The sequence below is a fragment of the Homo sapiens genome, chromosome 9 (assembly GCF_000001405.40).
Source record: "Homo sapiens chromosome 9, GRCh38.p14 Primary Assembly".
Classification (NCBI taxonomy): Eukaryota; Metazoa; Chordata; class Mammalia; order Primates; family Hominidae; genus Homo; species Homo sapiens.
The window spans coordinates 104,899,835-104,922,577 of record NC_000009.12 but is presented as its reverse complement, the minus strand read 5'-3'; the positions used below and the strand labels follow the sequence as shown (position 1 = coordinate 104,922,577).

Here is a 22,743-nt window from a genome sequence, read left to right as displayed (position 1 = left end):
TTAAGTTTTCCGTGTAATAACTCAGTTCATTCTCATGAGTGAAATAGGTGCTTTTATTGTCTTTATAGATGGGAAACTGAGGTATAGGCAGGCTAGGTACATTATTATGGAGTTCGTAAGTAGTGGAGCTGAAGTCGCATCCCAGACAGTTTGGCTTCCGTGAGTTTACCAATCTCATGGTAAAGACTTTGTCAGACTATCAAAGTTTTGACAAATGAAATATTAGCAAAAGGCCAAAAGGGATTCTCTATTTTCATTTGAGTATCTTCACCTGAAAATAGTTGCCTGAATAAGTAGCCTGCATAGAAAGGTACATTTTAGAAATACTTGAGGCCAGAGAATGAAAAGCTTACATAAAATTGATTTCCGGTGGGGCCTTCAGTTACTCTCCATTCTACGAAGACCACAAATAGCATTCAGGCAAAGAGCATTTATTCCAACAATGGAGGAGCACTGGATTTGGTTCCTAAAACAAAATAAAGTTTGAAATCCTGTCTTTCCCATGTTGAAAACAAAGTTGGTACAAAACCCTTTAGCTTTTGCAAACCTCCTTTAAGACCCGATTTAAATGCTTCCCTCCTCATGAAGCTCTTCTGGATCCACTCCTTCCCATCACTAAGTTGAAAGTAAGATCCCCTTCTCTTTACTTCCATTAGACTTGGATTACAGCACTCTTTGTATCATGTATTTAATTCTGTTTTTTAATTACAGTTAACATTTATTTGTCTTCCTCTTGAGTGTATGCTTCTCTAGAGGAAGGTCTTTGATTCATTCTCCCCTGGCCTTAATTCATCCCACTTAATATGGAAAAAATTTAATAAATGCTGACTTGAATAAGTCCAACAAGGAGAATGGGAAGCTCATGTTTGCTTCCTGTCTTCTAAAAGACTACTTAAGATAACAGGGTAATCACAGAAAAGCATTAGAAATAGAGTTATATGAGAAACAACTGTAGTTAAGGCTAGGTTTATGTTAGACTGAGAAATTTTAGTGCATACTTAAGTTATTTAGGCCAGGTTACTTTTTGTAGAACAAACATTTCAGTTTCGCTCAGTTTCATTTCCGTTTCTGAGGCAGCTGTGATTTAAGAAAATGCTCTAGTCTGTGGCATTCCATATTCAAGTACTTTGAGTTGTATATTAATTTATTTTTGTTAATAAGAGTGACATGACTCACTAAGTAATTTAGAGATTTAAACACTTTTTTAAAAAACAGTAACTTCATATGCATTGGATCTATTCTTCTATAAAGTCTTTTCTTGGGGGGTGTTTGTTTAAAATTCCCCGGTGTTTTCTCTGCCAAATCCAACTTCCAAGAAGCATTTGGAAGTCAAAACATTTTATCTGGTTAGTCTTAAAGTCCAGATATTTTGTGATAGCTGGTATTTAGTTTATGATATTTCCCAGGAAGAACTTTTTAGTAGTTGAACCATTTATGAAAGACTTCCTTGAAGCTACCTTAGAGAGTTGATTTAGTTCTTCTAAATAAGTAAATAGAATATTAGTATTAGGACATCTTGGAGTATAGATGCAAATATTGGTGAAAAAGAACATGGATATCAGAGTCAAATTAATGTAGATTGGAATTCTGGTTATTACTAATGGATATCTGACATTAGGCAAGTTGCTGATCACTCTTTGCCTCAGTTTCATCATCTGTAAAATAGGTATTTGTGTTTGTGTATAATGTGAACCGTATAATATAATGCTTGGCCTATAGTGAAATTTATTCATACGAGTGTTTTCAGTGATTTTAAAAGCTTGCTTTAGGCCGGGCGCGATGGCTTCTGCCTATAATTCCAGCACTTTGGGAGGCCAAGGTGGGCGGATCATGAGGTCAGGAGTTCGAGACCAGCCTGACCAGCATGGTGAAACCCCGTCTCTACTAAAAATACAAAAATTAGCTGGGCGTGGTGGTGCAAGCCTGTAATCCCAGCTACTCAGGAGGCTTAGGCAGAAGAATCGCTTGAACCCAGGAGGCAGAGATTGCAGTGAGCCGAGATGGTGCCACTGCACAGAGCGAGACTCCATCTCAAAAAAACAAAACAAAACAAAACAAAAATCTTGCTTTATAGTTTACTTCCACATCAAATTGTCTTTATCCCATGTTACTTGCATTGATATCCCAGACATGAAAAGAAAAAAAGATGATAACAATGACAGTTATTAAATTAGGTTCCACTCTTATTCTAGATCACCAATTCATATTACTATTCAGACTTGGAACATTAAATTTTAGTTAAACTTTTTTTCAAATATGCATATAATTGTCAGTGGTTACTATATTTTGGGGAAGAGATTGTTGACTTCTTTGAAGAAAGATACGGATTTTCTCTTCAGAAAAAATACACATGGGCTCATATAATCCAAATTTTATGTGTAATTACAGGGTGTTCATGAATGCCCACAAATCCATTAAGCCATGTGACCTTGGACAAGTCATTTTACTTTTCTGTTTTTTAGGTTGTTGGTCTGTAAAATGATACTACTTGACTTTTAAAGAGCCCTTCAAGCTCTTATGTCCTCTAACCCCAGGTCTGTATTCAGAAGAAGGGGTGGTCCTTTAATTAGAGCCATCTAGAGATCTGAGGAACATGCTGGGCATTAGTGTAACATACCATGTGGATTTTGAGAGGTAAAGAAAAAATAACCAGGGAATGCCTCAGAGCATTCCTGATCAGATCGATGACAGAAGAAAGGAATGAGAGGGAGGAGAGGAAGCTGTTGAAATTTCCTATTTACCTGCTTTGAGTGAATGAAGATTTGAATCATAGAACCAGAAGGGGTTCTCATCTGAAATGCAAAGGAAGGAGGAGTTGGTTTAATTCAATAAGTTTCAGTTGAGTAAACATGATTTAGTGAGATACTGTTCTTGCTTCTGACTCACCATTTGGAAAATCTCTCTAAAATAAAATTGGACTCTCCATCTCGGACATCATTTTGGGTGTAGGTTTTGCTTTTTTTTTTGAGATGGAGTCTCGTTATGTTGCCCAGGCTGGAGTGCAGTGGCGCAATCTCGGCTCACTGCAACTTCCGCCTCCCAGATTCAAGCAGTTCTCCTGCCTCAACCTCCTGAGTAGCTGGGACTACAGGCGTATGCCACCATGTCCGGCTAATTTTTGTATTTTTTTAATAGAGACGGGGTTTTACTATGGTGGCTAGGCTGGTCTTTAACTCCTGACCTTGTGATCTGCCCACCTTGGCTTCCCAGAGTGCTGGGATTACAGATGTGAGCCACAGTGCCCGGCCTAAGTTTTACTTCTTATAATGGACTCCTGTTAAGCCAATAGGTGATGAAAGGAAACCATAACCAACTCTTCAGGCTCATTCATCCTTCAAGAATAGCATGCTAGTACCCATCCTAGGAGGAGAATTGGACTATACCTCATGAGGATAGTTTGAAGTATCTCAGAAGACCCTCACTGGGGGTAGGTCGGTAAGACACAAAGCTTTCTAAAGCACTGTACCAAATTTGTTGTTTGAGAGATCATAACAAATTAGAAGTGGAAAGAAGAAGGAGTAAAAGGAAGAAGAGGTTTCTGGCCAGGAGCAGGGAGGGGGAAGGAGCTGCTAGGAAGATGTTTGGTTGTCATATCCCTGTTCACCCTTGCTTTGCAAAATTCTTGTAGGATGCCAGGTTGGGAGTAATTGTTTTTCACAAGAGTCAAACCACGCTTGTTTTCTTGAAGAAGCAAGTCTTTGGAGGGTGGTGGCTTGAAATCTGTTGGATCTGGTATTTAGGTGATACACTTTGACATAAAGGCAACACTGATGCAAGCAGCAGCTTTCCTTGGAAAGGCAGGGAGAAAGTGAAGGCCCAGACTGATGAGCTTACACTGACCTGCAGACCCTTCTCCATTCCCAGGCATGTTTGGTGGCAGAGTTTACCTTAGTTGGGGTTAGGCTGTTGTCTGGTACTGTGAGAGAGAAGGAAGAAGAAGATATGATATTAACAACAACAATACATATTTATATTTGAAAATTAAATGCACTAATACACCTATAGTGCTATTAAACAAATTTATTTGTTCAGCAAATGTTTGTTAAACACCATGTACTGTGGAAAGTACTAGGTGCTGGACAGAGGTCAAAAGACTTTTAAGAATCTGCCACCATTAATGATCTCTTTCTGCTTGGCATTCAAGGCTCTTTGAAATAAGACTGTGACCCACTTTGATAGTTTTGTCCTGGATTATAAGACACATGCTCGAAGGAACTATAGCTGGTTTTCTCACCAGACTGATTAACATATAGTATGGTTTGGTACCTGTTAAATGAGTCTCTCTCTACAGGTTTTCATCTTCTACTTTAAGAACCCCTTCCTGGCATTGTTTGGCTCCTCATTGTTCTGGAATCTCATGTCCATCTCATGTATTTGCCTTGGTTCACACTTGATCTTCTGCTCATATTCCTCACCTACTGAAATTTTACCCATCAACCAGACCGTGGGTGATGGAACACAGCATGGGCTAGTTCTTCTTATATATGATCTCATTTAATTTTCACTGGAACTCTGAGATAGGTAGCATTTCAGCCCACTCAAGTTGACTCAAATTTTTGTAATCATCAATATATTTTAAAATAACTTTATATTTGACCTGTAATTGGAAAACCAATATGAGTTATCATAAATGAAAGGTAATTTTAAAAATAATTAGGATGAAGACAAATTATTTTTCTCACAGTCTATGTATAAGATAAACTATTGGTTCCCAAAGGCCCCAGCTGACAATGAGACTTCTCTTACTTTGTTGAAAAGGGAATTAGCAAGCATTAAAGAGGTGTCAAAAAGAAGACTAAACAAAAGCTTACTCCTTTTTTTTTTTGAGACGAGTCTTGCTCTGTTGCCCAGGCTGGAGTGCAGTGGCACCACCTCGGCTCACTGCAACCTCTTCCTCCTGGGTTCAAGCGATTCTCCTGCCTCAGCCTCCCTAGTAGCTGGGATTACAGGTGCATGCCACCACACCCGGCTAATTTTTGTATTTTTAGCAGAGATGGGGTTCGTCATGTTGGCCAGGCTGGTCTCCAACTCCTGACCTCAGGTGATCCACCCACCTCGGCCTCCCAAAGTGCTAGAATCACAGGTGTGAGCCGCCGCACCCGGCCGCTTACTCCTTAATGTACTAAGAATGTTATATATAGGCTGAAGAAGTGCTGAAAAGAACCATATTTTCTCATGATGTGGTTCAATGTTTAATACTGTGCTTGTTCATCTCCTAAAATCCTCTGAATATCACTTAAATTCATCCTGTGTAACTCTCCCACATTTGGGGAAATACTGAGCTTGCCTATTATTATATTAGCCCCATATTTCAGATGATGCACCTGAGCCGAGGAGAAGTTAAATAACTTGTTCATGGTTCCATATTTGGCTAATGGCAGAGCCAGGGATTCAAACTCTTGTCTCTCTGACTCCCAGGTTTGTGCTTTTCCCACTTGGCTGAATTTCTCATGCTACCTCCTCCATAACACCTTTCCTAGAACTTTTAAGGAATGCTTCCCCTGTTCTCTCATAGCATTTTAATGTAAGTTGCCAAAGTGTCCCAGTTTGCACCCCTACCAGCAATGTGGGAGAAAATAGCAACATATTTTTGATGTTGGGGTCTAGTGTTACGGTTTCTTCTGCTCTTTGGGATGTATATTCCATGGCTACTGAATACCCAAGTCCCAAACAGTTTTCTTAGACTCAGAAGGTCATCCACTTCAGCTTCTTCATCAAAAAGACATATTTTCTGGCTGGGCACGGTGGCTCACACCTGTAATCACAGCACTTTGGGAGGTGGAGGCAGGAGAATTGCTTGAACCCAGGAGGCTGAAGTTGCAGTGAGCCCAGATCGTGCCACTGCCCTCCAGCCTGGGTGACAGAGCGAAACTCTGTGTCAAGAAACAAAAAAAAGGACTTGTTTTCTGTTCCATTACCCACAGTGGTAGAATGGCGTGCTAAATTTATTCTCCAGCTGCCATTAACTGCAAATTAAAATCTTAGTCTCTTGCCTCTTTAATCCAGGCTTCTTCATACTATACCAGAATTTAGGATAACTATTACAGTGCCCTTTATAGGAGAGAAAGAAGAAATTGTGTCTGTAGATGTCTGTTCCTTTCAGCTTAAAATGGACACTGAAATGTTAAATATTGGACTGGCCTCATTTATTTCTCCTGTCTGTTGGTCCAATTTGAATCTTAAGGCGTCTTTCAACTGGAATTTTTTGTTTCTCTCAACTAAAAATTGTTCTTTGTAAGTTTGAATCAGAACAAAATCCTGAATGTTGAGGGTTTCCTAAAGGCTGTTTCTTTATGCAAAAGCCTGAAACCCGATGTTGATGTTGGCTGCTTAAAATTAACTGTGAATCAAGGCAGGGTTTTTATTTTTATTTTTTTTTTACTTTAATGATTGTGTTAATTATAGTGAAAACCTTGAGTTCACGAGAAAGAAAGCCTTTGGTCAAGTATTGTTTATTAAGTTGTCAGTCTTGTTGCAGGATTTGCAAATTTAGTGGAATTAGTGCCATTTTTCAGTTTACAATTCCAGTCACATTTCACATGATCAGAGCATGGCTTTCTTCTCTGTGGAGCAAATAGAGGGCTGTCTGACACTTGGTTCCAGTGGCTTCCATTAAGCAGAGTGGATATGTCCCTGGAGTCTGCAGAGAAGGGCATGGCACTCTGACCCCAGATGGCACTCCGTTTTGGGACATTGTCCAATTCTAGTTCATAGCATATGTGACCAACACCAGCTCTCACCTGATGTAAACACTTAGCGCGTTGTTGCTTGGGGGATTGGATTGTGTGAATTTTTCAAAACTACAGTTGACAGAAGGAGGCTACCAAAAATGAAACCCAATAATTCCATTTTTGGGAATTATTCCCACTTTTGTTCCATTTTTCCCACTTTGTTCTTTGGCACACAGAATGTTTGATTTGTGAAAATCTTAATAACAGTAGTTTTTTCTATAAGGAACACTCAGAATCTTGATAATATTGGAATAATACAGATCCTTTTGTAGGATCCTCTCAGACCTCATATAATAGAGTTCATGTAGTCAATATTTAAAGAAAAACACCCTTAAGTTTTTGTTTTTCAGAATCACAAGTAAGTGGATTTAAACTTGTGATCTTATTCCCCTTTCTTCTCTTAATTTAGTGAGGCAGCCAGCGAGAGGGTTTGTTTTGGTTATTCTAAAGAAGGAGTTTGCTTGTAAGTTTTGGAGGGCAAGACTTAGACTCTGTGTCTCTGTGCTTGCCCTGGAACTTTGATTAAATTGTCACTAACCGAGTTAGCTGGCCCTCGCCGGGCTGCAGAAATAGAAGTGTCTTGCACACATGACATATGACTGTCTCAAGAGCTGGCTGGTGAAAGGACGTTCTGGAGAAGGCTGCCGATACTGTATGAACTAGAACTGGACAAGAGCCTGGAGATTGGATAACTCAGTTTGGCGCAAGTAAAGGGAATAAAAGTGTTAAGGTGGCAAAATTGTATCCAGGTGTTTATAGGCTCCCTGAGTTCCTGACTTGAGCCTATCTATGGGTTTAGAGTTCAAGGCTCTTTACCAGTGCTGACAATCTTATACTCTAGGTTGAACCTCCGGGGAAGGTGCCCTTGCTTGATGGCATGTTTACCAGGGGTTCTAGAGCCTCAATCACAGATTCTCTCTAGCTCACATGAAGTTAATGAAAATGAATGTGCTTCCCTACAAATTAGAGAGGCTTTGAGGAAAAATCAGATTAAATGCACTCCTGCTTGAACTTATGTTTCTTAGAACACAGCTGGAAATTTTGTCACACAAACCTTTACTTTCAGTGACATTTCTTGACTGGTTTGTTACTGTAGTGAATCTGCTTTAACTATCTTTTCTTATCGCTGAGGTTTTACTTCCATTCTACATGTGATTGTGGAGCGCTGCGTCATTGTGGGTTCAGTGTAGTGGAGAGTAGGAAGATGGTGAGACACAGTAGCTTGTTGCACATTGCTTAATTTATCAGGGATCACTGATGAGTTAGTACACTAGAGAAGATTGTAGGTAGAGCTGAAAAGATGGAGGAATTATAAGGCTCAGATTTCTCTCTTTTTTTTTTTTTTTAAGATGGAGTTTCACTCTTGTTGTCCAGGCTGGAATTCAATGGCATGATCTCGGCTCACTGCAACCTCTGCCTCCCGGGTTCAAGTGAGACTTGATGGTCTCACTTGATGGTTTCCTGGCTCAGCCTCCTGAGTAGCTGAGATTACAGGCACCCACTACCATGCCCAGCTACTTTTTTGTATTTTTAGTGGAGATGGGGTTTTATCATGTTGACCAGGCTGGTCTCGAACTTCTGACCTCAGGTGATCACCTGCCTCAGCCTCCCAAAGTGCAGGGATTACAGGCATGAGCCACTGCGTCTGGCCAAGGCTCAGATTTCTAATAGAGATTTCTAATGGACATAGAGGCTGGAGGAAATGGGATGGACAGGAAAACTGAGTCAGGTGCCAAAAACTTGTAGGGGGCCGGGTGCGGTGGCTCACGCCTGTAATCCCAGCACTTTGGGAGGCTGAGGCGGGTGGATCACGAGGTCAGGAGATCGAGACCATCCTGGCTAACACGGCGAAACCCCGTCTCTACTAAAAATACAAAAAATTAGCCGGGCGTGTTGGCAGGCGGCTGTCGGTAGTCCCAGCTACTCGGGAGGCTGAGGCAGGAGAATGGCGTGAAGCCGGGAGGCGGAGCTTGCAGTGAGCCGAGATCGCGCCACTGCACTCCAGCCTGGGCGACAGAGCCAGACTCCATCTAAATAAATAAATAGATAAATAAATAAAATAAAATAAAAACTTGTAGGGAGGTGGCAGTGTGCTATGGAGGATAGGTGCAACCTCTGTGAGAATGTAGAGAAAATAGTATAAGTGAGTGGTGAGGACCCCCAAGAGGGGGTTTTATAGTAAAACAATGGTCAGAAGTGGCAACAGGATACCGTATAATGCTTTCACCTCTACCAATGCACTGGGTACTGGAGAGCGCTCCAGTTTGCTCTGGAAAGGCCCTTTCTGTGGACAAAGAATACAGAAAAGAGATTCCTTTAATAAACCACCCACTCTGTGTCCCACCCTTGATGAATACTTCACTGTGAAATTGCCAGAATTAATCATGGTAATAGCTACTGTACACTTACTTTGTTCCAGGAACTGGATAAATGTTTTACATACATTATCAGTTCTATTTTTTGGAGAAGATACAGGGGCTCAGAGTCCCTAGGGTTCCAGAGCTGGTGAGTAGCAGAGTCAGGATTCAAACCCAGCTTTCTCTGACTCTAAAACCTCCTTTCTTCCTGCTGAAACAATTAACTCAAGACAACAAAGGAGTTAAGGATTTGGGGAGTTTTCTGCATGGTAGAATAGACCCAAAGGAAAAGAAAGAAAGACAGTGACTAAGATTTGGGTTTGTCTGCCCCACCAAATGCTTTGAGCACTTTCATAAATATAAATCCTTCAGGTTGGGAGAAGGTTGAACATCTGAAGACACTGATTCTTCAGAGATGTAATCCAAACAAAGTGATCTTTGGTGATATGGTCACTAAACCATTTATCCCAAAATTCTCTTGGAAAACCGTCCTATAACAGCAGGGAACATTATCCAGCCAAGTTTTTCTGCAAATAAAGGGTTGCTGATAGAGGCTTGCCTGCTTGTGTTTCTGTAGCTCAGGGTGTTTATGAATTCACTAATCCCTTCCCTTCAGATCCCTTTTATTCTGGTGTTATGATTGTGACTGAAAAAAATTGATTTTTTTTCTATGACATAGAATGTTGAAAGGTTGATTTCTTTTCTAGAGGAAAGATTCTTTTTTTCTATGTGCTACATACCCCCCGACCAGGGAAAAGGCAAATAGTGGTATTGTTTGCTGAAGTCTTCCTTTGAAGGTTGCTTGGTGTTTGCTTAGTGGAAATCAGCAGGGGAAGAGAGGCTATCTCTAACATTTTGTTAGAGTTTCTTCGTAGTTCTATAGTGATGAAACAAGGACTTGGGGTACAGGACAGATCTGCTTTCAGAAATCCTGGCTCTTGTGAGGTTTAGAAGCCCTGAGACCATTTAGCTGGTGGCAACGGGAATGTTGAGGGTGATAAATAGGATCTTTGGTTGTCCAAGTATCAGTGACATGATATAGATGGAGTTAAACCTTTAGGATCTCCTTATTTATTTGTTTGTTTATTTTTGAGACAGGGTCTTGCACTGTAGCCCAGGTTGGAGTATGGTGGCATGATCATAACTCACTGCAGCCTCAAACTCCTGGGCTCAAGCGATCCTGCTGCCTCAGCCTCCCAAGGTGTTAGGATTACAGGCATGAGCCGCCACACCCGGTCAGGATCTCCTGTAAAATTATATTGTTGACAACATGAAGAATTATGCTTCTCAAAAGCTAGTTATAGATTTGTACAATATTCATAGATTTCTTGTTTCAGTTTTTACAAATTCATAGCCCTTATTTTGAAAATTAGCTATTAGCAATAATTTTGTCTAGGAAATTGGATGTGTATTCAAGTGAAAGAAGGAAGTACAGTTACCTATTATCTTATTGTAACTAACAATCAAGTAAGTGTGATGCATTTGGTACTTTAAAAACTGCACCCAAGTTACAGATTATTGGAATTAATAAAATTCACTGGATCTATATATTTTTAAACGGACAGTGTGATAGCAGAACCTCTTATAGAATGATAGAATTCCTCTGGAATGATTGGATAACTTCATTTCATCCTTGACTTTTACCTTGGAGGATTTCTTACCCCTTTTGGCTTCTCAAATTTGACTATTAAAATGTTGCCTTTAAAAATAGGAACACAGTTTCAGGGGGGAGTACCAGCCCATGACCCTTCTGCAAGGCCCCCTAACTCAAGGTAGTTTCCCTGGAACTGTGGTTTATGGAATGTTTCAGGAGTGTGAGGAGGTATAATTTAAGGCTGTCCTAGCAAGGATACCCTTAAGGATAGAGGGCCCAGTAGCATCTGGAGGCCAGAAAAGTTAAACTGAGGCAGTCAGATTAGCTTCAGGCTCAATTAAGCTGATGGGTCAGCCTGGGAGAAATTGCAGGATGACTCTCAATATCCCCTCCCACCCCCACAGCAGCCACGATCTGTCTGTCTTTAATCATGGGTGCAGTGAACCTGTTCTTTCCAGGTGTCTTGGCCTTCAGTAACCTTGTTAGGCTTGTCCCTGAACGTGGCTACCGATCCAAAGACACATGATCAGAGAGGCAATTAGAGAACAGACCTTTTCCAAAGCAAGCATGTTCTGTTGGGCTTAGAAGTTTCATGTCCTAATATTATAGGACCCTGTGCATCTCTCTGGAGATGAGGCACATGAGTCATATCTGTGATTCTTGCTTTTGTGTCAACATCTCATGAATAGGCAATCAGAGCTTTGGCACCAATGTATTTTCAGTTCATATCTGATGTAGTTAAATCCACCTCCTGCTTTGTAGTTTACTGGCAAGCTGTTTTTGATATAAGACATCTAGAACACTGTAAATATATAACATTTTTATTTGTCTATTATACCTCAATTACGAAAAAGACATCTAGAAGCAACCTCATCAAGAGAGATACTGAGGCCGGGCATGGTAGCTCACACTTGCAATCCCATTACTTTGGGAGGCTGAGGCAGGTAGATCACTTGAGGTCAAGAGTTTGAAACCAGCCTGGCCAACATGTTGAAACCCTGTCTCTATTAAAAATACAAAAAAGTTAGCTGGGCTTGGTGGTGGGCACCTGTAATCCCAGCTACTCCGGAGGCTGAGGCAGGAGAATCACTTGAACCTGGGAGGCAGAGGTTGCAGTGAGCTGAGATCACACCACTGCACTCCAACCTGGGCACCAGAGTGAGATTACATCTAAAAAATAAAATAAAGTAATAAAAAAGAGAGATATTGATAGCTGTTGTTGGAAATTTCAACTTCCATCTCACTTCTGGTAACTTTTTGGAAGTTTGTTGAACAAAGTGGAATACACGCACATACACACACACACATACTCTCTTGTTTGTTTAAGGTTTAATGAAATAGCTGTCATATAATCACTGTTTTTGAAAGAGGAGAATTAGTTGCTATCTGTACATTTTGGGTATGTGAACTATTTGGATAGAACTCTGAGAAATGCATTCAGAACAACAAACAAAATCATAGGAGAAATAGCTAAGTGGGAAGGGGCATATAAGAGTTGTTGAAAAAGTTATTTCTTGAGAAACCAGCTCTAATGCTAGGCAAGTCACTTGCTTTGGGGGAGGCCTCAGCTTCTCTGTCTATAAGATTGCAGCAGGGGTGTAGTGGGAATGAGTCTTCAACATTCCAAGAGATTTTATCTACTAATACGACAGTCAAATGGAGCATGACTTTGTGGAAGCCTCTCCTCTTCCACCCAGAGGGGCCAATTTCTCTGTCCCAGTGAGATGTTGACACTTGTATGATCCCTGCTTGGAGACTTCCCTCTTCTGGAACCTGCCCTGGCTCAGGCATGAGGGCTGACTGTCACCCTTCGATAGGAGCCCAGCACTAAAGCTCATGTGTTGGCAGTGTTCTTGCGGGAAGGAAAAAGACCAGCCAGCCCATTTGTTACTGCACAAGCAAACAGCTTCTGGTAGCTGTACAGATACATGCACTTTCTTTCCTCACTGTGTTTCCATAGACAGATTTAGTGCTGTAGAAGAGTAGAGGGCAGTCACGGGAAGGAGTTCCTGTTTTTCTTTTGGCTATGCCAAATGGGGAAAAATCCTCCTATCTTGTCTTTTTAGTGTCATCCTCTCTCCCCTTTTCTTCTTCTTTATAATTCTCATCTCTCATCTCTCCTGGAAATGTGCATGTCAAGTTCAAAAGGGCACAATGTTTTGGTGAGGAAGAGGTGGGAGAACACGTGCCAGGTGCTAACTAGGGTCATCATTTCCCCCTTCACAGCCAGCTTCCTGTGAATGTGTGTGTGTGTGTGTGTGTGTGTGTGTGTGTGTGTGTGTGTGTGTATTTCTTTTGCCAGCATCACTGAATCTGTCTGCTGTCTGGTATTCCAGGTTTTGGTTTAGGGAAAAGTAAAAGTAATTTTATAATCCCAGCTGTCATTTAAGCCACCCCTTTGTGGGTAGCATATGGTCCACTCTCTCAGTTCATTGTCCTAAAGATGCTTCATCAGAAAGGAATAACTTCCACCCCGTTACTCTCTGTCCCCTTACTCTGCTTTATTTTTCTTCGTCAATCCTACCACCACCACCCACTGTTTGAACAACCCACTATTATTTGTCTGTTTCCCATCCCTGGTAGAATAGGAGCCCCATGAATGAAGGAACTTTGCTTCTGTTGTTCACCACTGAATCTCTAAGGTATGGAACACACCTGGCATGTGATAGGCACTCGATAAATATTTGTTGTGGCTCATGGGCACCTTGCAGAGTTAAGGCTGCAGTTGTTTGTGGAATTTATAAGTGGTAATGAATATTTATCTACTATTCCTCTTCCAAGGCGATCACACAATAATCAGGCTTTACACTATCCAGTTCTTAGGTCTTCCAAGTTATGACTTGTGAGGTATGTTAATTATGATAATAGAAGGCAGTTTATTTGGTTCAGATTTATTGATGTGTAATTTACCACAGTAAGACTTCCCCTTTACAAAAGTATGATGAGTTTTGACAAATGGATACACATGTGTATCTACCACTGCCATGCTCCTTTTCAGTCTGTCGTCCCCTCCACCCATGACCACTGGTCACCACTGCAGTGATTTCTGTCCCCTTCATTTCACCTTTTCCAGAATGTCATATAAATGGAATCATGCAGTATGTAGTTTTTTGTGTCTGGCTTATTTTTCTTAGCATTAGGCTTTTGGGATTCATCCAGGTTGTCGCATGTAACAGTAGCTTATTCCTTTTTATGGCTGAGTAAGTGTCCCAGTTTTATTTATATATTTATTTATGAGGAGGTGTCTCACTCTGTCACCCAGGCTGGAGTGCGGTAGCGCGATCTCAGCTCACTGCAACCTCCGCCTCCCAGGTTCAAGCAATTCTCCTGCCTCCTGAGTAGCTGGGATTACAGGCACCCACCGCCACGCCCAACTAATTTTTATATTTTTAGTAGAGATGGGGTTTCACCATGTTGGCCAGGCTGATCTCAAACTCTTGACCTCAGGTGATCCGCCCACCTCTGGCTCCCAAAGTGCTAGGATTACAGGCATGAGCCACTGTGCCCAGCCCCAGTTTTATTTATTCACCAGTTGATGGTCTTTTCGACAACTAATTGTTTCCAGTTTTTGGCTATTCTGTATAAGGCTTCTATAAATATTCACAAATACCTAGGATGGGATGACTGGGTCATATAATAGTACTGTATAACCTTAGCAGAAACTGTCAAACTATTTTCCAAAGTGGCTCTTCCATTTTACAATTCCACAGTGTATTGAGTCCCAGTGTCTCCATACACATGCTAGCACTTTTAATATTTAATTTAGTGGGTATGTAATGATATCTCATTGTGGTTTTAATTTGCATTTCTCTGCAGCTAATGATGAGTGTTTCTGCTTATTTGGGAAGGTTTTAATTTAGCAGTCTGTTGTATTCTGTAGATATTAATAACTTCAAAATATCAGTGGCATTTGCAGTTAAAATTTCCTTAAAAAATTGGCCAAAGGTTTCCAGCAGTCACTTCTGCCATGCCCAAACTGTATGAAACAAGGCTGAGGTGTGGAGATTGTCACATTTTGGCAAGGAGTGATCCACTTGGGTGACTGATGAGACCCAGAGAGCGTACGCCTCGGGCTTGAGGGTGAGGACGGGCGGGAAGTCGACTGCATGGCCCTGCTGGCCTTGGGAGGCTGCCCAGTCCTTAGCTAAAGCTGGCAGTTATGGGAAACAGACTTAGATTCTATTACGTTTTTCAGGATGTCCCAGGAGTCACCTGGGAAGCTCAGCAGTCCTTTGTGACTTTCAAGCATATGGTAGAAGCTGCTGAACACAGAGCTCCCTCTTTGGGGATAATTTGCCCAAATCATTTAATCAGGCTTGAGAAATGAGTTACCACAGGTCCAGGAGTGCTGCCACCCTTGAATTCTGACACCCTATTTCTCCTATCCGTCTCTTAATTAATTAAGCAGACATCCCCAAGTGCTTACGACAAGCCAGGACCCTTTTGCATACTAAGGAAAACAGGGATGAAGGAAACAGAAATGGTCTCTGCTCTGACTCAGAAGGTAGAAATCCTCTTTCCCAGCCAAGTCTTCCTAGGGAGCACGTAGGAAGGGCTCTGAACCCACGTGTCAGTTGCAGGGGAGGATATCAGGAAAGGACATTGAAGAAGTGGAGACCTAAGTTTGAGACCTAGGCATTAGCCAGGCTAGCAGTGCTTGAAAAAGTGTCTTAGGACAAGAGAACTCACCAGTGAAGTCCCAGTGGTAGGAGAGCGTGCAGCATATTCTGAGCCTGTATACACATCTCCAGGGCATTGCTTAGCAGGTGGGGAGTGGCAAGAGAGTAGGCTGGAGTCACAGAAGGGAGGCCAGGTAGACCTTGGTGAGCACTGGACTCTATGTTCAGGTGCTGAGGAGCTGGCAAAAGGTTTTAAGTCGGGGAGAGGCATGTTCAGATATTTGGTCTAGCTGAGTAACTTTGGGTGCTCTGTGACAAATGGTTGGGAGACCAGTGAGGTGGCAGTTGCGGTCATCTAGGAGCAGGATCAGAGTGGCCTATTGACTGGGATGACTGTGAAGTGGGATCCTTTCCAGCCAGTAACTGGAAATGTGTATGAGGGCAGAAGTGAGTGTACTGCATTTGAAACATTGAGAAATCTAGTACATAGTACTGTCTCTTTTATATCTTTTTTTTTTTTTTTTTTGATTTTGGTTTGTTTGTTCACTAACTTGGAAAACTGATGTGGAAATGTCCCTTTGGCTTCAGTTACCTGAGCAGAAGGGGCCGGGCATTGCCAAACTCTCCTCTTAGGACAGAATTGCTCCCAGTATTGATCATTGTGTTCTGAGTTGGGGGAGCAAATTGTGCAGGAGGCCAGGTCAGTGCCAAGGTGGGTGGGAGGAATTGGAGCAGGAAGCTTGCCTAAGTGTGCCCAGCAAAGCCACGGTAGAACTTTCTACTGTGGCTCTATGCTACTTCTTAGCAACCTTCTCCATGTGCTTCCTGGAGAGTCCTTGGAGTCAGAACCTTTTTCTTGAAACCCAGACACTTTACTTCCAAGAAAATGCTGTCCAAGAAAACTCATCCTTCCCTTCTTCTCATGAACGTTGTGTAGAGGTGTGTCTTCTCTTCCTTTGAGCTTTTCCACTCAGGGTTTAGGGGAGGTGATATTCTATATTTGGGTTTGGCTCTGGGTACTGCAACACTAGGCTATTAAGATTTCATCCTTACTGCTTTGCCCCTCCTATCTTTCCAGAAACCCACAATGGATTTGCTAGAAATAATGGAACGTCCTGTTTGGACAGGATATAACCATTTCTCAGCTAGAGGATATTGTTGGAATGAAGAAAGATAAATGGGGAGAAGGGAACTCACATTGCTTTGGCACTTAAATTAAGCCATGTACTGTGTTGGGAAATTATTTATATTATCTCGTTGAATCCACAGTAGAACACAGTTGAACACCATACAAGGTAAGTATTGTCATCCTTATTTTACCATGAGGAAATTGATGCTTAGAGAGCATAAAGCCTTGGCCAGGGGCACATAGTTGGGAAGCCGGGGCTAATTCATGCCTGGGCTCTTTCTGATAGTTTTCCTTTTTTAATTGTCCCCTCCTCATTGTTACCTTGGGGATTTCAAGAGATTCATGTAGCTTCTAAATCAACGAACTGATTCCTGGAGAGCAGCTTCTGTATGAGAAAAATCTAGCTAATTATTTATTTCAGTGTCTCTGGAATGCAAGCTCTGTCCTGAGCCACTTAGAAAACAATTTGGGATGACAAGCATGTGTCTCACAATGCTGCTCTGGTTGCCAGTGCTGTGCTGCCAGTTGTCATCTTTGAACAAACTGATGCAGTGCTGGTTTAACTCTTCCTCTTTTTGGAGTAAGAAACTTTGGAGGCCTGTGTCCTTCTAGAAGTTTGCTGAGCAAATGGTAAGGAAAAGAAATAGGTCCTAAGGCTTGACTATTTCAGAGAATTTCTTGATTTATTGGACTGTCAATGAATGAATTGGAATACATAGTGGTAGGCTGTCTTTTCTTCTCAGACACTGCAATTTCCTCCAATCTCTTGACTTTTCTAGAAGTTTTAATCCAAGTCCTTGTTGGGTGGTAGATAAAAGGGTATTGTTCTACTAGAGACTGACCTTGGCATGGAGATCTCATTTGGACTCACAGATTTCTAGTCTAGCGCTTGGTTTTGTATCCATACCTCGCTACTGCATTCTTAGTTCCTTCTGCTCCTTGTTCCTCATGCCCAGTGTCCCACCCTACCCTTGCCCCTACTCCTCTAGAGGCCACAGTGATTCACTGAGCCATTTCATAAGCACAGCTAGGAGAGTTCATGGCTACCAAGTGCCAGCAGGGCCGAATTTTCACCTGTGTGTCCTCCCTTCCATTTTTCATCTTCTGCCCCCTCCCCAGCTTTAACTTTAATATAACTACTTGGGACTATTCCAGCATTAAATAAGGGTAACTGCTGGATGGGTGGCTGGGATACACAGAATGTAGTATCCCTTGTTCACGAGAAGACCTTCTTGCCCTAGCATGGCAAACAGTCCTCCAAGGAGGCACCTGTGACACCCAACGGAGTAGGGGGGCGGTGTGTTCAGGTGCAGGTGGAACAAGGCCAGAAGTGTGCATATGTGCTGACCATGGGAGCTTGTTTGTCGGTTTCACAGTTGATGCCCTGAGCCTGCCATAGCAGACTTGTTTCTCCATGGGATGCTGTTTTCTTTCCAGAGACACAGCGCTAGGGTTGTCCTCATTACCTGAGAGCCAGGTGTCGGTAGCATTTTCTTGGTGTTTACTCACACTCATCTAAGGCACGTTGTGGTTTTCCAGATTAGGAAACTGCTTTATTGATGGTGCTTTTTTTTTTTTTTTTTGAGACAGAGTCTCGCTCTGTCGCCATGCTGGAGTGTAGTGGCACAATCTTGGCTCACTGCACCTCCGCCTGCCAGGTTCAGCGATTCTCCTGCCTCAGCCTCCCAAGTAGCTGGGACTACAGGTGCCTGCCACCATGCCCAGCTAATTTTTGTATTTTTAGTAGAGACGGGGTTTCACCGTATTGGCTAGGATGGTCTCGATTTCTTGACCTCGTGATCCGCCTGCCTCGGCCTCCCAAAGTGCTGGGATTATAGGCTTGAGCCACCACGCCTGGCCGATGGTGCTTTTTATCATTTGAAGGACTCAGTTGTATAACCCACTGAAAATTAGTATGTAAGGAAGTTCAGGGAATAGTATAAGTCACTCCAGGCTTGAGGCAAAATTTACAAATGCTGCTGACTTTGTATGTAAGGGGAGGCATTTTCTTAGAAAAGAGAGGTAGGTCTCTGGGATTCCAGTATGCCATTTCCATCCTCAGTGTTTTTGGCCACCTGAGAGAGGTCTATTTTCAGAAATGCATTCTTCATTCCCAGATGATAACATCTATAGAACTAAAATGATTAGGACCATAACACGTAGCTCCTAGCCTGCTGTCGGAACACCTCCCGAGTCCCTCTTTGTGGGTGAACCCAGAGGCTGGGAGCTGGTGACTCATGATCCATTGAGAAGCAGTCATGATGCAGAGCTGTGTGTTGGAGGTCTCAGCTGAGAGGGCTGGATTAGCAGTCCTCATTGGTGTATGGCTTTGCAGCAATAACTGATGGCTGTTTCCCCTCCTGCTTTATCTTTCAGTTAATGACCAGCCACGGCGTCCCTGCTGTGAGCTCTGGCCGCTGCCTTCCAGGGCTCCCGAGCCACACGCTGGGGGTGCTGGCTGAGGGAACATGGCTTGTTGGCCTCAGCTGAGGTTGCTGCTGTGGAAGAACCTCACTTTCAGAAGAAGACAAACAGTAAGCTTGGGTTTTTCAGCAGCGGGGGGTTCTCTCATTTTTTCTTTGTGGTTTTGAGTTGGGGATTGGAGGAGGGAGGGAGGGAAGGAAGCTGTGTTGGTTTTCACACAGGGATTGATGGAATCTGGCTCTTATGGACACAGGACTGTGTGGTCCGGATATGGCATGTGGCTTATCATAGAGGGCAGATTTGCAGCCAGGTAGAAATAGTAGCTTTGGTTTGTGCTACTGCCCAGGCATGAGTTCTGATCCCTAGGACCTGGCTCCGAATCGCCCCTGAGCACCCCACTTTTTCCTTTTGCTGCAGCCCTGGGAGCCACCTGGCTCTCCAAAAGCCCCTAATGGGCCCCTGTATTTCTGGAAGCTGTGGGTGAAGTGAGTTAGTGGCCCCACTCTTAGAGATCAATACTGGGTATCTTGGTGTCAATCTGGATTCTTTCCTTCAGGCCTGGAGGAATATAATAACTGAGACTTGTTTTATTTCTGCAGAGGGTTCTAAGCCATTCACTTCCCAGATGGGCCAATAATGCTTTGAGTAATCTGGAGATCATCTTTAATGCGCAGGTGAATGGAACTCTTCCACAGAGGGATGTGAGGGCTGTAGAGCAGAGTGAACTCCCTGAAACTCAGACGTCAGCTCTTTGTCTCTCTATCTCTGAACACCCTTCCTTAGAGATCCCATCTCTAGGATGCATTTCTCTGTAGTTAGTTTCTAAGTCTCTTGTTCCTGTTCTGCCTTTATTTTTTTTTCCTGGATTCTAAGCCAGTATCCCCACTTGGCTGTCTTAATGTAGCTTAACATGTCTGTAATCAAAATGATCATCTTTCTGAGATTCAAAGGGCTATAAGGGACTTTGGAGAGAATTTCATTCAGTTTTCCTCAAACTAGAATAATGCTTGCACTGTCTGTAAAAGAACAAAAGTGTCAAAGCATCCTTTTGTTCACTAAATTTCCTTTTTTATTATAGTGTTACTTAAATATTAGGAAGTAAAAGTAGGTATAAACTTCTTATAGGCTGTTATTATACAACTATATGACCCATACATATTTACAAATTAAGTGCAGCCAAAATTGCAAAATCAATACCATTCAAATTAATACCTTAAATGTGGTGAGGCAGCTGTTGTTCAACTGAAACCAAATTATAAGTTGCATGGCAGTAAATGCTATCATGCTGATCATTTTGAGTTTGGCCAGTCTATATTATCATGTGCTAATGATTGAATTCTCCACCCATTTTTCTACTTGTATGACCTTAATTTGATGGCACCTGTTCCATCCTCATGAGTTTGCTACAATTATACTGGTGCCAACACAATCATAAACACAAATATAAACTTGGGCTTTGAAATCTTGTGCCAGAACTTGGCTTTAAAGTAAGCATTTAAAAAATCCATATGTGTTTATTAGACTTTGTTTAGATGACTGTTGAAATGAAAACAAAGTGTTTAAAATCCTCTTAGAGAACTTAAATATAATCCCTCAGCAATATGTATACAGATCTTCCTTTGAGAAAAACTGATTGTGTTCAGCCTCTCATGTTACAAATGGGGAACCTGAATTCTGAGGTCTCTAGTGAGAGAACAGGGACTGGAATCTGTGGATCCTATCTGTTTTAATAATAATTGTAAAGTATAATAGATAATATTATATTAATAAAATAAAAGCAAACACTTAGAATGAGCTTCCATGTGTGAGGCACTAACTGATTAGGCATTATTAACTAGATTTATTCCTTTTAAGGCCCCGCGATGTACTGTTATTTCCACATGTTGTAGCTGGGGAACGTGCTACTCAGAGAGGTTAAGTAACTTGTCTGAGGTCCACACCACTAACAAGGAGCACAGGTAGGGTTCAAATCCAGATAATCTGACTTTGGAGCTGGCACTCTAACTCAATGTGCCTAATCGCTTTTCAGTGGTGTCATTATTTTGCCTATTCTCCATCTGAGAATATTGAAGTTTCTGACTCCTTCCTTGCCTTTCTCCCTGCCTCCCGTGGTTATCCCCAGGTCTTGGTGTTCCAGTCCTCTATGTCCGTCCTTACTCTTATTCCTTTGCTACAGTGTGATCCAGGGCTCCTGCCCCTTCTTATCCTGGTAGAGGGGGCCCACTTGCTGGGAAATTGTCTCCGCCATGGTTTATCCATGTTGTGTGTCCATTAGTGAGTAGTGGGAAGAATCATATCATGTTGGCAATGAAAGGGGGGCTATGGCTCTGGGGTAGTCTAGTCTGAACCTCTTATTTTACGGATGAGAAAGCTGAGGTACAAAGCAGGGAAGGGATTTCTTGAGGTCACCCAGCCAGCAACTGAGCTGCAACCAGAAGCTGAGATCCCCAGGACTAGGGCCGAGCCTCATTCTGTCCCATCACAGTGACTTTTCTTCCCTCCTCCAAACTATTTTTATTTTTTATTTTTTTGCAGCTGCTTAGCAGCTTGAAGTTAGAAGAAAGGGCAGGGAAAAGGTTTTCCGTGCTTAGCCAGGGAAGGAATCCTGCAACAGGATGTGGGGTTGGGTCATTCAAATTGGGCCAGACTCCACTGGTCTTGTTGCTTCTTGCTTGGTATTGCAGATGGGTTTAAAAGTGTTAGGATTAGAGAGATAGGCAGGTTTAGCCAAAGGCAGTTTGTAGCCTTGTGGCAGAGTTCTTTTTAAAGAAGGAAGTGGGATGCAACACCCTGACACAAAGGGGCTTAAGTTGTTATACCACTGCCTGCTAACCTGTTTTCCTTAACTCTCTTCCTGATTTCTAAAGGAAGTATATTTTGCTGAATCAGAAAGAAAAGTGATTTATTTCAGGTTGCTGATGCTTAGATTGTTAGAGTTGGAAAGATCTGGCTTGCATCTTGTACAGCTGACAGAACTGGGGCTCAGGGGGGCACAGGTGCCCAGAGTTGGTCAGTCAGGAAAGTAGCACCAGAACCAGTCTCCTGGTGGCCCTACAGTTGCAGACCCTTTTTTGCTTTGCTCTCTGTGTATACTAAAGCTTCTATGTCTCTGAATCTCAAGTTCTGACTGGTAGCTACTTTCCAATCCACCTGGCTTAGATTTCTAGATTATATTGTTTAGACGTCAGAACCTCTTAAGGGTTTTGGGGCCACTTGTTAGCTCACATAGTGAGAACCAGCCCTGCCCATTAGGTAGGGGAAGAAGTTAGCAGTCCATGATAGCTGTTGCCTGCAGCGTATGGATGTTCATTGCACAGTTCCTGTCTCCTGAGATCCTGGAGTGTATACGCTTGGCCTCAGAGCCCAGCACAGAGCCTGGCCCTTGGGACATGCTTAGTAAGTATTTACTGAATGAGTGGGAAATGTCTTAAGGCCCATTAGTTTGCAGGTCTTGAGGAGGCTCCCTTGCACTAGGAAGAATAGAAAGCATACATAAAGCCTGTGTGCTGCCGCCAGGAAGACTAGAAACGCTATGTTCAGCCTGGAGCTGAATGGTATACCCCAGAGCAACCCTGTTGAAAGGCAGTGCTTGCCTTTTCATTCTGTGTCCTGGTTTGCTGGTAACTCCTGGGTCCCCTGCCTCTCCTGTACCCCCATTGTGCAGACTGAGGGGGGACCATCAGCCAGGGTTAGTTTTCCGCTGTTTCTGTTAGGCAAAGAATAAATTGAATTGAGTTGTGAAAGTTGGGTGCAAAGCTCAGTTTGGGTCCAAAGTAACAGTTAACTTGTGTGGGTGGCAGGTATTCAGTACAAACAGGGCTGGGGACAGGAAGGGGAAGAGAACTTCAGAGCTTTCACGATCCTCATCTGGTTTTAGGCTGATCCAGAG

At 42.5% G+C, this 22,743-nt stretch overlaps 1 protein-coding gene and 1 long non-coding RNA gene across 2 annotated transcripts in view, besides 1 other annotated feature; one reads left to right on the top strand and one right to left on the bottom strand.

The window, feature by feature from the left end:
* ABCA1 (ATP binding cassette subfamily A member 1) overlaps positions 1 to 22,743 on the top strand; it is a 147,150-nt gene that overhangs the window by 5,578 nt on the left and 118,829 nt on the right. Inside the window, exon 2 of the mRNA NM_005502.4 lies at positions 18,807 to 18,964. Coding sequence (NP_005493.2) covers positions 18,899 to 18,964 — 66 coding nt within the window. The 5' untranslated portion in view covers positions 18,807 to 18,898. The remainder of the gene's footprint in view (positions 1 to 18,806; positions 18,965 to 22,743) is intronic.
* On the bottom strand, positions 36 to 4,877 carry LOC124902239 (uncharacterized). Its single transcript, XR_007061706.1, has 3 exons — positions 3,841 to 4,877; positions 2,742 to 2,792; positions 36 to 466 (listed from the first exon to the last, which is right to left on the bottom strand). It is a non-coding gene; the product is annotated as an uncharacterized LOC124902239 (long non-coding RNA).
* Positions 18,493 to 19,405: an enhancer, noted in NCBI's record as "H3K4me1 hESC enhancer chr9:107665454-107666366 (GRCh37/hg19 assembly coordinates)". NCBI's record gives its function as "activates a minimal SCP1, AML or CMV promoter by ChIP-STARR-seq in naive H9 embryonic stem cells {active_cell/tissue: H9 hESC(naive)}" and the evidence as "EXISTENCE:reporter gene assay evidence [ECO:0000049][PMID:30033119]".